This window comes from Homo sapiens, chromosome 14, assembly GCF_000001405.40.
Source record: "Homo sapiens chromosome 14, GRCh38.p14 Primary Assembly".
Classification (NCBI taxonomy): Eukaryota; Metazoa; Chordata; class Mammalia; order Primates; family Hominidae; genus Homo; species Homo sapiens.
This window is the reverse complement of record NC_000014.9, coordinates 50,806,230-50,819,845: the sequence shown is the minus strand read 5'-3', so window position 1 is coordinate 50,819,845 and position 13,616 is coordinate 50,806,230. Positions and strand designations below refer to the sequence as shown.

At 41.1% G+C, this 13,616-nt stretch overlaps 1 protein-coding gene across 31 annotated transcripts in view; it reads left to right on the top strand.

Annotated features, from left to right (window-relative positions):
• The window catches only part of NIN (ninein), a 111,741-nt gene that overhangs the window by 11,658 nt on the left and 86,467 nt on the right, over window positions 1–13,616 (top strand). For all 31 annotated transcript variants that reach the window (XM_047431452.1, XM_047431439.1, XM_047431453.1 and 28 more), the window contains one exon: window positions 13,028–13,109. Coding sequence is in view for 26 of the 31 variants with exons in the window: in XM_047431442.1 (XP_047287398.1) it covers window positions 13,028–13,109 (82 nt within the window). In the remaining 5 variants the exon portion in view is untranslated. The remainder of the gene's footprint in view (window positions 1–13,027; window positions 13,110–13,616) is intronic.

Sequence of the window (13,616 nt, the reverse complement as noted above, 5' to 3'; positions counted from 1 at the left end):
TTCTTCTCTTTAGAAGATATTTGTAGAAAAACTTATAAGGGTTAGCAGCTTGGTTTAATTAAAAAAGAAAGAAAGAAAGGGTAGCATAACAAATCTGAATATATTAATCTATTCATTAATTCAACAAATATGTATTGTGTGTGTCCTGCCTGTCAGGCATTCCTGTAGTCTCATGGCATGGGATCTGTATTAGTCCGTTTTCACGCTGCTGATAAAGACATACCCGAGACTGGGTAATTTATAAAGAAAAAGAGGTTTAAGTGACTCCCAGTTCCTTGTGGCTGGGGAGGCCTCACAATCATGGTGGAAGGTGAGAGAGAATGAGAAGATGAGAGACACACCTTACGTGGTGGCAGGCAAGACAGAATGAAAGCCGAGCAAAAGGGGAAACCCCTTATAAAACCATCAGATCTCGTGAGATTTATTCACTACCCCAAGAACAGTATGGGGGAAACTACCCCCACAGTTCACTTATCTCCCACTGGGTCCCTCCCACAACACATGGGAATTATGGGAGCTACAATTCAAGATGACATTTGGGTGGGGACACAGCCAAACCATATCAGGGTCCAAGTTATTTATATTTACATTTACTGTAAACTACAGTTTTCCATTAAGTTGGCTTTTGGCTGCATTAGTATCCATCAACTTCCTGGATGCTTCTGGCTTTAATTTTGTCTTTTAAATCTTAGTGAATATAATTTTTAAATCAAATACAACTTCTAAGCTTCCTCTATGTTGACTTAGGCTGAATTATCTTAATGAATATAATTTTTAAATCAAATACAAATCCACCTTACCTCTATTGGACTTGGGCTGAATTAATCCTTTTTTTCTTGAAAAAGAAGTAAGATGGAAAGCATTGTCTCGCTCAACCAGGAATGCAAACATTGTGTATTTATTTTTAAATATTACAACGCATCTTCAATAACTTGTTTTTTTTTTTTTTGAGGCCTAATGTTTAATAGTTGTTAATGAAAGTAACTTAAATCAACTTGCCATTTCTATGTGTTTTACCAATAGGTCATTTTCCCCCAAATTATTTTTCAATTCATTTGTCTTGCTTTATAGCTTGAAACCATATTCACCTGAGCAAGGTGGTTACTGTACAGGTGTTTGAAATGCGTAAAGCTTGTGGATCCCTGATTTGAAGGAAAAGGGATATTGCCGATAAGTGTTTACCACTAGGTTATGAAAAGAGTTCCATCATATCTTTGTCATCAGTTAAGCACCTGTCAGCTAGATGAGGCCTCATCACAAGGGGCTTCTCAAGACACCGAAAAACTTACAATCTAGTCGGGTAATATACATGGCACATGAGTAGCACGGGGAGCAAATACTACAAAAATCGAGGGGAACCATGAACCAAGTTTTATCCAAGCAATCATACTAATTGTAGATGCTTAAATGAAGTGTTTCTGCATACCTCTCTATCTCCTTTATTAGAAATCAGGACATGAAGATAATTTGCCTTGGTTTTGTTGAAACATTTAGTTATATCCAGTGTTTTTTTTTTTTTTTTTTTTTGACAGAGTCTCGCCGTCGCCCAGGCTGGAGTGTAGTGGCATAATCTCGGCTCACTGCAAGCTCCGCCTCCCGGGTTCACGCCTTTCTCCTGCCTCAGCCTCCCGAGTAGCTGGGACTACAGGCGCCCACCAACACACCCGGCTAATTTTTTGTATTTTCAGTAGAGACAGGGTTTCACCATGTTAGCCAGGATGGTCTCGATCTCCTGACCTCGTGATCCGCCCACCTCGGCCTCCCAAAGTGCTGGGGTTACAGGCGTGAGCCATCGTGCCCGGCCATATCCAGTTTTAAAAATGCATTCTTGGCCAGGCACGGTGACTCACGCCTGTAATCCTAGCACTTTGGGAGGCCGAGGCAGGTGGATTGCCGGAGCTCAGGAATTCGAGAGCAGCCTGGGCAACACTGTGAAACCCTGTCTCTGCTAAAAATACAAAAAATTAGCCGGCGTGGCAGTGGGCGCCGGTAATCCTAGCTACTCGGGAGGCTGAGACAGGAGAATTGCTTGAACTCGGGAGACAAAGGTTGCAGTGGGCCGAGATCACGCCATTGTACTCCAGCCTGGCGACAGAGCGAGATTCCGTTTCAAAAACTCCTTACGTAGTATGCCAACTTTGAGACAAAACAGCCCCTGAAGTTCTGAGGAGTTGCATTGCTATATTCTTAATATGAATTTGGATGCTGAAATACCCTATGTCCCTGGCACACTATAAAGTGAGAATAAGCCTCCAGGCAGCAGAATCACCACTGGTTTCTAGAGTCCGGTAGGTAATCTAGACTTTGGTAATCAAAGACATGTTGAAATTTTTAGTATTAAAATTTGATAGCTGTACAAATATATATAATTTAGATCAATTTTCTTACATTTCTGAAAGGGTTTGAGGTTCTTTCTAAATTTCTTGATAAATTTCATGTGGTGGATTTGTTTCCAACTCAAAAGCTTTTTAAGATTTATTTTTCTTATATACATTTTAATCATTTGAAGTGTAAATGAAAAATGGAGAAGTACTTTCTTGTAGTGCTTATTTGGACTTGTTCTCTGTATGCAAAATTACATTCAATATTAACTGCCATTGGTTTGTAATAGTGGTGCTGCTGATGGGGTTGTCATAATATAACTCATACAAAAGTCAGACTGGTTGTCTCTGATTTGTGGAAGGGAGGCTAGGGAGACTTAAATTGGTGAAGGGAAATGGCCTATGCTGTGGGAGAGAAAAGACAGCTAGGAGGAGGTTTTTTGCATATGTAGACTTGGATCTAGTCTCTAAGTCTGAACTCCTGAGGGTCTGTGGTTCCCCATTGATAAACAAGAAGACCTGATTAGGAGACTGCTCAACTTGCTTTGACTCTGTATTAATGCTTTCTCATCAAACTCATTGCAGAATTAAGTGCGTTTTTGTGTACAGTACATCGTTGTGTCTGTCAGAGATATTTAGTGTGACAGGGATCGAGAGGGGAGAGCTGTTGGGAAGGCCTGGACTTAGAACAGGCAGGGAGGAACAAATGCTAAATGGCCATTCTCTTCTACCGACCTGATTTTATAATGCCTTATTTCTGTGATTAGGGATGCTCATTAGATTTCATCATTATTTCACGGATACTTTTATGAGTAGCTTCCTGTCTGGACAGAGGGGACTTAAAGTTCTTCAGTGTCTGTCTCAGATTTTAGACCTCAGAGTTCATCTGACAGAGAAACCTTGGCTTTTCCAAGGTCAGATGACTCATTTGAGTCAGTGCCAGGATGGGATCCTGGATTTCCCAGCCCCTGCATTTGAATACATATCTGCACAGTTTCCTCAAACTCCAAATATGCAAAAGTGAATCTCCATTCCCTCACCCTGCTCCCCAAACACTACCCCCACCACATGGAGATAGTATACAGTTAGAGCACGGGCTTTGAAGGCAGTCCTGGATTCAAGTTCCACTTCTTGTCACATTATTTTTCCCTTCAACTTTGATTTTAAACTCTGGGGTACATGTGCAGGATGTGCAGGTTTGTTACAAAGGTAAATGTGCCATGGTGGTTTGCTGCACAGATCAACCCATCACCTAGGTATTAAGCCTGGCATCCATTAGCAATTTTTCCTGATGCTCTCCCTCCCCCCACCTCACAGGTCCAATGTGTGCTGTTCCCCACCCACCCCCTACCTCCTGCCAATTAGTCCATGTGTTTTCATTGTTCACCTCCCACTTATAAGTGAGAACATGCGGTGTTTGGTTTTCTGTTCCTGCTTTAGTTTGCTGAGGATAACGGCTCCCAGCTCCATCTATGTCTTGCAAAGGACATGATTTTGTTCATTTTGTTTTGTTTTTTTGACATGGAGTCTCGCCCTGTCGCCCCAGGCTGGAGTGCAATAGTGCAATCTCAGCTCACTGCAACCTCTGCCTGCTGGGTTCAAGCAATTCTGCCTCAGCCTCCCGAGTAGCTGGGATTACAGGTGCATGCCACCACGCCCAGCTAATTTTTTGTATCTTTAATAGAGATGGGCTTTCTCCATGTTGGCCAGGCTGGTCTCAAACTCCTGACCTCAAGATCCGCCCACCTCGTCCTCCCAAAGTGCTGGGATTACAGGCCTGAGCCACCATGCCCCACCGATTTTGTTCCTTTTTGTGGCTGCATAGTATTCCATGGTATATATGTACCACATTTTCTTTATCCAGTCTATCATTGATGGGCATTTGGGTTGATTCAGTGTCTTTGCTATTGTGAATAGTGCTGCAATGAACATATGCATGCATATATCTTCATAATATAATGACTTATATTCCTTTGGGTATATACTTAGTAATGGGATTCCTGGGTCAAATGGTATTTCTGCCTCTAGATCTTTGAGGAATCACCACACTATCTTCCGCAATGGTTGAACTAGTTTACACTCCCACCAACAGCATAAAAGTGTTCCTTTTTCTCCACAACCTCACCAGCATCTGTTGTTTCTGGACTATTTATTGATTGCCATTCTGACTGGCATGAGGTGGCATCTCATTGTGGTTTTGATTTGTATTTCTCTAATGATCAGTGATGTTGAGCTTTTTTTCGTGTTTATTGGCTGCATGAATGTCTACTTTTGAGAAGTGCCTGTTCATGTCCTTTGCCCACTTTTTAATGGGGTTGTTTGTTTTTTTCTTGTAAATGTGTTTAAGTTTGTTGTAAAGTCTGGGTATTAGACCTTTGTCAGATGGATAGATTGCAAAAATTTTCTCCTATTCTGTAGGTTGTCTGTTCACTCTAATGATAGATTATTTTGCTATGCAGAAGCTCTTTAGTTTAATTAGATCTCATTTGTCAATTTTTGCTTTAGTTGCAATTGCTTTTGGCATTTTTGTCATGAAATCTTTGCCCATGCCTATGTCCTGAATGGTATTGCCTAGATTTTCTTCTAGGGTTTTTATAGTTTTGGGTTTTACATTTAAATCTTTAATCTACCTTGAGTTAATTTTTGTATAATGTGTAAGGAAGGGGTCCAGTTCCAATTTTCTGCATATGGCTAGCCAGTTCTCCCAGCACCATTTGTTAAATAGGGAATCCTTTCCCCACTGCTTGTTTTTGTCAGGTTTGTCAAAGATCAGATGGTTGTAGGTATGCAGTCTTATTTCTGAGTTTTCTATTCTGTTCTGTTGGTCTATGTGTCTGTTTTTCTATCAGAACCATGCTGTTTTGGTTACTGTAACTTTGTAGTACAGTTTGAAGTGGGTAGCGTGATGCCTTCAGGTTTGTTCTTTTTGCTTAGGATTGTCTTGGCTATTCAGCTCTTGCCACTTTTTAACCATATGAACACGTTATCTTAAATACTCTGAGCCTCAGATTTTTCATCAGTGTAATGGGAAGACTATTTCCCTTACAAGACTGTGATGAAGGTGGACTAAGATTTGTGTGTATCAAAGGCTTATCATAGCACCAAGGACACCGTTAACTTGCTGTATTTGGCTGTATGCTCCTTTCCCCTACCCTCTACACACCCAGAATGGCTCTTTGATAAATAGTGACTTCCTAGTAATGATTTACCAAGAAACATGGTTAGAGTGAAGAGTAGATTTGCTAGAAGTTCTCTTGCGTGGTGGTGATTTGAATTCATTTCCATCTGTAAACAGGATTCCTTGGACCAGTCTTGGAGTACAGCTTCATATAGTTGCTTTAGGTTTTATAAACCTACCTTTTAAAATAGCCTTTGCCTCTCTCTACATTGTCTGCAGTAAATTAAGTTACAATATTATAATTTAATAAATGAATATTAAATATAATAATATGAAGTTAACAATTCAAGTTACAATGACCTGAATACTTTATTTAAAATAAAATATAAGTGTATCTTTCATTATGAAACTGCCTCTTTTTTAGTCTATGTCATTTCTCTTTGCATAATGCTGTAAGCATTTTCCTGTGCATTGACTTCTGATAAGTCCATATTTCTGTAGCTGTTTCAATTAACACAGTGTTTTGAATCTTCTTTCATTAATTTCTCTTTATATTAGTAAAGACAAATCTACTAAGTTTGTATTAGTTACATAGACCTTTGTCTTGTTTCATAAACTCACCTTGTTCAGTGCTAGTTTGAGTTCTCCCACCTTGGGTCTATTTCCAGTAGTGCCTGCACACATGTGGAAACTGCATTTGATCTCCATGATTGCACGAGATGAGTTTATGCAACATTAGTTTCCTTATTCCACTTCCTGTTACAGGGTTTTTTTGTGTGTGTGGTTTGAATTTGTTTCTTGTGTGGTGCTTAAGTTCTTTTTCAAAAAAAAGCAAATTGCGTTTCTAAAAAAGCATTCATATGAAATGTGAAGAGGAAAAGTAATGAGGTAAATTTCTCCTAAGAGGTGGTGACACATGACAAAAAATATCAGACTTGACTGGTCTTCCTCTTAATTTAGTTTAAATGTCATGTGTATTTTTCGTCAGTCGTGTAATTTTCCCATTGCTGCAAACTGCCCGTTGAGGCATACAAGGTATAGGAATGCTTGTAAAATGAATGGCAGCAATTATTATTCAAATGAAGAGGTACCAACCAGTGTATGCACAACTTGGAAACTTGTTACCTTGTGAGACTTAATTGTATTGTATATTTATGAAGATTTCTACTTTTTAACAAAATACAATAGTAAAGCTCCCTTGGAGGAGAAAAATGGTACTTAAAACATTGCAGTTGCTGAACATAGTTAGCCCACCGGTGGGGGTGTTCATCAACATTTCGGTTCTGGGTTGTGTCCTAAGGGGCTTTTCCACCACATCAGTATTCATGAGCATTGATGGAAAATAGCGGTCGCCTCCTCCACAAGAGAACTATCTCTTTGAAAGATGAGGCATTTACTGCTATTTAAATCCAAGGGCCCAGTGTCTACACTTGCAAGAAGGAAAATAAAGATCAATGCAAGACTTAAGCTGCTCTAATGGTTTGGGCCAGCTGCTATGTGGTGTGTGAATTTTCGGACTGTTTGTTGGAAAAAGAGGAATTCAACCAAGTAGACGTTATTGGGCTCTGAAGAGCCTCTGAGTTAATAATCCTGTTTAATCTTTTATAGAGCCCCTTTTCATCTAAAATGAGGCTGATTTACTACATCATAAATAAATTTCGGAGACCTTTAATCTCTGTCTGTGAAGATTTGAGAGAATTCAAGCGTTGCAAAACTGTCCCTCTTTTCCTCCCTATTGGCCAAGTAGGACATGCTTGTTTATCAGAGGCCCCTACCAGCTTTTGTCTCTCTCAGGCACATACCAGCTTCTATCTTGTAGTTACTAATAAACCTTCCTCTCTTTTTCCCCATTCCACCCTTCCACTTTCTGGAATCTATGGGGTAGCTGATAAACTCCTTGAGGGCAGAGGTTATGTGTCTTCTTGATCATGTATCTCCTGATCCTGCCTTATACTTGGTGTGTGCTTTACACCTGGTGGCTTCGTGTGAAAGTTGAGGATTTGACTTCCAGCAGCAAGGGATTTCCCTGAGGGGTCAGACCAAGAGGGAAGTGGGCCTGAGCCAGGCAGGCTTGCTGGGCTCTGATGAGTCCAGTCAGAGTCCTGGTGCATGCTTTTTCTACCTCTCACCTTTCAATTTTGAGGTAGGGTCTCTGCCTTGACTGTGTCACATGAATATTGTGAGATTCAAATGACAAAATGTCTAGGAAAGAATGAACCTACGATAATATCGTCATTCATCTAGCATTATCCATGACCCACGTTCGTAAAAAAAATTTTTTGTTTCAGAGACAGAGTCTCGCTCTGTCACCCAAGCTGGAGTGCAGTGGCGTGATCTCAACTCACTGCAATCTCCACCTCCTGGGTTTAAGCGATTCTCCTGCCTCAGCCTCCTGAGTAGCTGGGACTACAGGCACTGCCACCACGCCCAGCTACATTTTTTTTTTTTTTGGAGACGGAGTCTTGGCTCACTGCAAGCTCCGCCTCCCGGGTTCACACCATTCTCCTGCTTCAGCCTCCCGAGTAGCTGGGACTACAGGCGCCCGCCACCACGCCTGGCTAATTTTTTGTATTTTTAATAGAGACGGGGTTTCACCACGTTAGCCAGGATGGTCTCGATCTCCTGACCTTGTGATCCGCCCACCTCAGCCTCCCAGAGTAAATTTTTTTAGTAGAGATGGGATTTCACCGTGTTGCTAAGGCTGGTCTCAAACTCCTGAGCTCAGGCAATCAGCCCGCTTTGGCCTCACAAAGTGCTGGGATTACAGGTGTGAGCCACTGCAAAAGCCCATAAAATTGTTTAATACCTGGATCTTTTGCCCCATTTAATGGTAGACCAAAAAAAAAAAAAAAAAAAAAAAAAGCTTGACCATTGGGGATTTAAAATTTTAGTTTTATCATATACAAGAGTGTATTAAATACAACTAGATTGTTCTTGATCATTTCAAATCTCCTGACCCATTAGTTTTTCTTCTGTGTTGTAAGAGTAATACCCTCAAGGCCGGGCGCGATGGCTCACACCTGTAATCCCAACACTTTGGGAGGCCGTGACGGGTGGCTCACCTGAGGTCAGGAGTTTGAGACCAGCCTGGGCAACATGGTGAAACCCCGTCTCTACTAAAAACACAAAAATTAGCTGGGCGTGGTGGTGGGCGCCTGTAATCCCAGCTACTCATGAGGCTGAGGCAGGAGAATTGCTTGAACCCGGGAGGTGGAGGTTGCAGTGAGCCAAGATTGCGCCACTGCACTCCAGCCTGGGTGACAAGAGCAAGCCTCCATCTGAAAAAAAAAAAAAAGTAATAGCTTCAGGATTCACTTAATGAATCCTTGCCTCAACACTAAGCATGGATACATGCCCCAACACCAGACAACCCCGGCCTATTAAGTTTTTGAATGCACATGTTGTCTTTTTTTATAGTTTATGTAGTTTTTAGTAGAGTTTTAAAGGCTGGGCGCGGTGGCTCACGCCTGTAATCCCAGCACTTTCAGAGGCCGAGGTGGGCAGATCACGAGGTCAGGAGATCGAGACCATCCTGGCTAACGCGGTGAAACCCTGTCTCTACTAAAAATACAAAAAAAATTAGCCAGGCATGGTGGTGGGCGCCTGTAGTCCCAGCTACTCGGGAGGCTGAGGCAGGAGAATGGCGTGAACCCAGGAGGCGGAGCTTGCGGTGAGCCGAGACACGCCACTGCACTCCAGCCTGGGCAACAGAGCCAGACTCCATCTCAAAAAAAAATAATTAATTAAAAAAAATAGAGTTTTAAAAACACCTTTGTAAAGTGTAAGAAGTATTATACTTTATTTTTGTTTGAAGGAGGATGGTTAATATCTTTCCTCCATCTCAATATGTCAATAATTGCTTCTTTTTATTTTATATTTTTTGAGATGGAGTCTTGCTGTGTTATCAGGCTGGTCTCAAACTCCTGGCCTCAAGCAGTTCTCTTATTTCAGCCTCCCAAATAGCTGGGATGACAGGTGCACGCTACCACACCTGGCTAATATGTTAATAATTACTCCTTGTACTTTTAGCTTGGAGTGCCCCTGTCTTTTATTTCCTGCTTCCAATCTGCAGTGAGTTGGGAAGCAGGATTATGAAGTTTATAATAATCAGGTAGAGTAGGAATGTGGAAAATACTGAGTTGGTCCTTTGGCATTTTCTTTTTTTTTTTTTTTTTTGAGACGGAGTCTCACTCTGTCGCCCAGGCTGTAGTGCAGTGGCCCAATCTTCATTCACTGCAAGCTCCGCCTCCCGGGTTCATGCCATTCTCCTGCCTCAGCCTCCCGAGTAGCTGGGACTACAGGCGCCCGCCACCACGCCCAGCTAATTTTTTGTGTTTTTAGTAGAGATGGGGTTTCACCGTGTTAGCCAGGATGGTCTCGATCTCCTGACCTCGTGATCCACCCGCCTTGGCCTCCCAAAGTGCTGGGATTACAGAGTCCTGTAGCATTTTCTACAGGATGAGTGCCTGGGCTTTATGACACCTCCCTCAGCTTTTGATCCCATGTGTTTCTTTCCTGGTTGTCTGTAGTACTCTAGATAGGTGAGGCTGTGAAATAAACTCCATATAAATGAAGCTTATACAGTCTCAAAAGCTTGTGTGTTTGTCATACCATATTCAAGGGATACTTAGGCCTCATGTAAAGCCTTGGAAGTTAATTAGAATTAATTCCAGATTATAGATGTCTTTGTCATGTGTCAGGGAAAGTAAAATTCAGGTACATGCACTACTGAGTGACCTTCAAACAATGAATTGAACTATGTGAGGACCAAATTCAGGAAGGTTATTTCCAATGGCCTCCATCAAAACTTACGCCTTTAGAAGACCCTGGGGAGACTCACAGAGTCAAGTTAAAGAATCTGAAATCTTCCAAACACCTTCCTTTTGAAAGAGAACCTTCTTCATGTTCAACTTGTAACTCTAGCAAGGAGAGACTTACGTTTCATTCAGTCCCCTCCATTAATATCCTTAAGAGAGAGAGGAAACCTAGAGTTACAGGTCCCTAAATATAGCAAACTGGATCAGTTTCTTTGATGCTGGGCAACTCTGCAGATCCTGGAGGAGAAGGCAGGCCCTCAGACCTCCCTGCCGCCGCCCCCACCACTCACTCTTGGCTATCTTGGTCACTCTCATGGCTATTAGCTTTGCTTGAAAATATGACCCTGATTCTTTTTTTCTTTTCTTTTGAGATGGAGTTTTGCTCTTGTCACCCAGGCTGGAGTGCAGTGGCTTGACCTCAGCTCACTGCAACCTACACCTCCCAAGTTCAAGCAATTCTCCTCCCTCAGTCTCCCAAGTAGCTTAGATTACAGGTGCGCACCACCATGCCCAGCTAATTTTTGTATTTTTAGTGGAGACGGGGTTTCACCATGTTGGCCAGGCGGGTCTCAAACTCCTGGCCTCAAGTGATCCACCTGCCTTGGCCTCCCAAAATGCTGGGATTACAGGCGTGAGCCACTGTGCCTGGCCATGGCCCTGATTCTTTATAAAAGTAATGGGAACAGTCAGTCACCCCTATTACTATAGCTATTGGTAGTATTAACTACCACTTGCTGGGCATCTAACAGTCCCAGGACATTCTTGATACTTTACCCAATTCTCATTTTATCTTCCTAACACAGGGAAGCGGTATTATAAATACCATAAAATACATGCAGTGCTCTTAGCAGCTGCCTGGACTCTCTGTGACATTTCCTGAGACTATGAGCATCGTGGCACAGGGACTTGTCACTCTCATTCACTACTGTGTCACCAGGGCCAAGTACAATGCCTGGCATAGAGCAGCTGCTCAATAAATATTTATTGAATGAATAATAAATATCAGTTGTTAGATGTCCCCAGTTTTCCAGACAGACAAACTAGGGCTTGGAGAGGCTTCGTAATGTCTCCAATTCACATCAGGCAGTGAAGGAAGAGCTAGGGTTAGAGCCTGGACCCACCTAGCTATAAAGCCTTTGTGTGTCCTCCTAACCCTGTTCCTGGCTTCCCTGAGAAGAATGAATGATTCTGTAGAAATTCACAGATGCCCGTCAAGTGGCCTGAGTGCCAGAGCTCTTGAGTGCATGATGTTTGTGAACTGGCTGGTTGGGAAGCTGGCCTTGCGCATGTTAACTGGAGCCTATCCTTGACTCTGGGACAGTAGCAGGACCTGGCCGCCCCTCCCTCCCCCAGGATGTTTGGCTGTGAAACCTAATTAACATAGCCTACCTTTCTACAGTCGTTTACCCTTTCAAAGATTGTGCCTCCCTGGATCTTCAGCAGGTGCCTGGTTTTCCTTGACAGACTTCTGCTCTGGCTCCTTAGATTACGTAGATTTTTTAAGCCTGTAAAAAGGTAACTATGTGAGGTGATGTATATTTTAATTAGCTTGAATGTGATAATTATTTCACATTGTGTACATATATCAAATCATCAGGTTGTACACCTTAAATATATGCAATATAATCTAATGATTTCAGTAAGTAATTCCAATCAATCAAAACTAACATGGTAGAGAAATCACATATACTTTGGAAGAGTGTGGTAAATTGCAAGGAGATACAATTTTATGACATATAAATCTTTTATGACATATAAATGAATTCCTCTCTTTTGTTTTGATTTGCATAGATAAGACATGATATGATTTTTTGTCCACTGTTTCAATAACTAATGAAGTTTGCTGCTTTTGTAAATTTGATTTGGAAGTTTATCTGTCACCTATATTAAACCTCTAGGCAGTGTTTTGTAATGACATCCAAACAGACCCATCCCATAGCAGAACAAACTACAAATTTACCAGTTTTGTATTTACATGGGGGTTCTATGTCAATAGGTGCCACATTATCAAACTAGAATTGTGATGAGAAGAAATCCCAAGGTGAGATTACATACATCTAAGTTATAGAATATCCTTGGCCATAAAGAAAATGCTTTTACCTTTTCAACAAAGTAATATCCTAGTTCTGACTATTTACTTAAATAAAACTCAGGTTCTTTCCAACTTCAGTCAAGATAACTCTATTTTTTAAGAATTCAGGAAAATACTTCTTAAGATTCTTTTATCCTTTGTGCATTTGCTATTGATTTTTGCTTATTTATGGAATCACAGAGGCCTTGGGAAATAAATATTATATACCTTCCCTCAAGGAAGACTATATTCAAGTCATCCTCAAAAGACAGCTTACTCCCTTCTAGAATATCTCAAGATACGAAAGCATCTTTGGGACATCGTTACATTGGATCATTTGCTTGGGAAGGCTTTTCTAATGTCTAGCCTAACGTCTTTCTCTTCTGGTCTTGTTCAGAAAAATAAAAGCAGCTAAGAGTTTAAAATATATCTTTTTCTGAGTTTATAAAGAGGATTTTGCTATATAGCTTTTTTCCTTTGGGGTGAATAAATATCGATATGAATGTTTACGGCACGAGGTGTCAAAATGATCAGCCTATTTTCCCTTCTGTCTTTAGAGAAATGAAAAGGGCAACAAATTGGATTATGACTCACTTCAAGGCTGTCAGGATGGGAAGAAAACAGTTTTGGTACCTTGTAGATAGGTTTGCATTCTTAGAGCTGTGGAAATTACTTTAAATCTATTTTTAATTTTTTTTAGGTACATTTTGACCAATTTAAAGAAGCATTAATACTCATCTTGTCCAGAACTCTGTCAAATGAAGAACACTTTCAAGAACCAGGTAAGGTCACTCACTTCTCTTCTCTGCCTTCCCCTTTAAAAGTTGTCCGGGGAAGAATCTGGGGACCTTGAAGCATGTATATGAAGGATTGGGGACATCTGCCTTTCACAGATTGAGCAGTTATTTTCGGTGACTTCTCTTCAATATTATCATAAAAGCTTTGCAGCTGTTGAACACTAAAATGAGACTTCTCTACTACAGCAGCATAGTATTATGGAGAAAATAATTGGATTGTTTCTAGGCAATAACTCATTCTTGGAATGAGTAGAGTGAAGCTGAATGGTAACTGCTTTCATCCTTGTTTCCTTGTACATGGAAGGATATGATTTGGGGAAATTTTTTCCTGAAGGTAGAAGAGTGACCAGTCTAGAGATAATTTTACTTAGTCGTAGTGAGTGGATCATGCTCTGCTGTAGACATTATCACATTACATTATAATTATCTGTCTCCTCCTCTCAAGTGATAATTCCTTGAGGACCATGCTGTTCATTTTTGTATTTCCAGTGC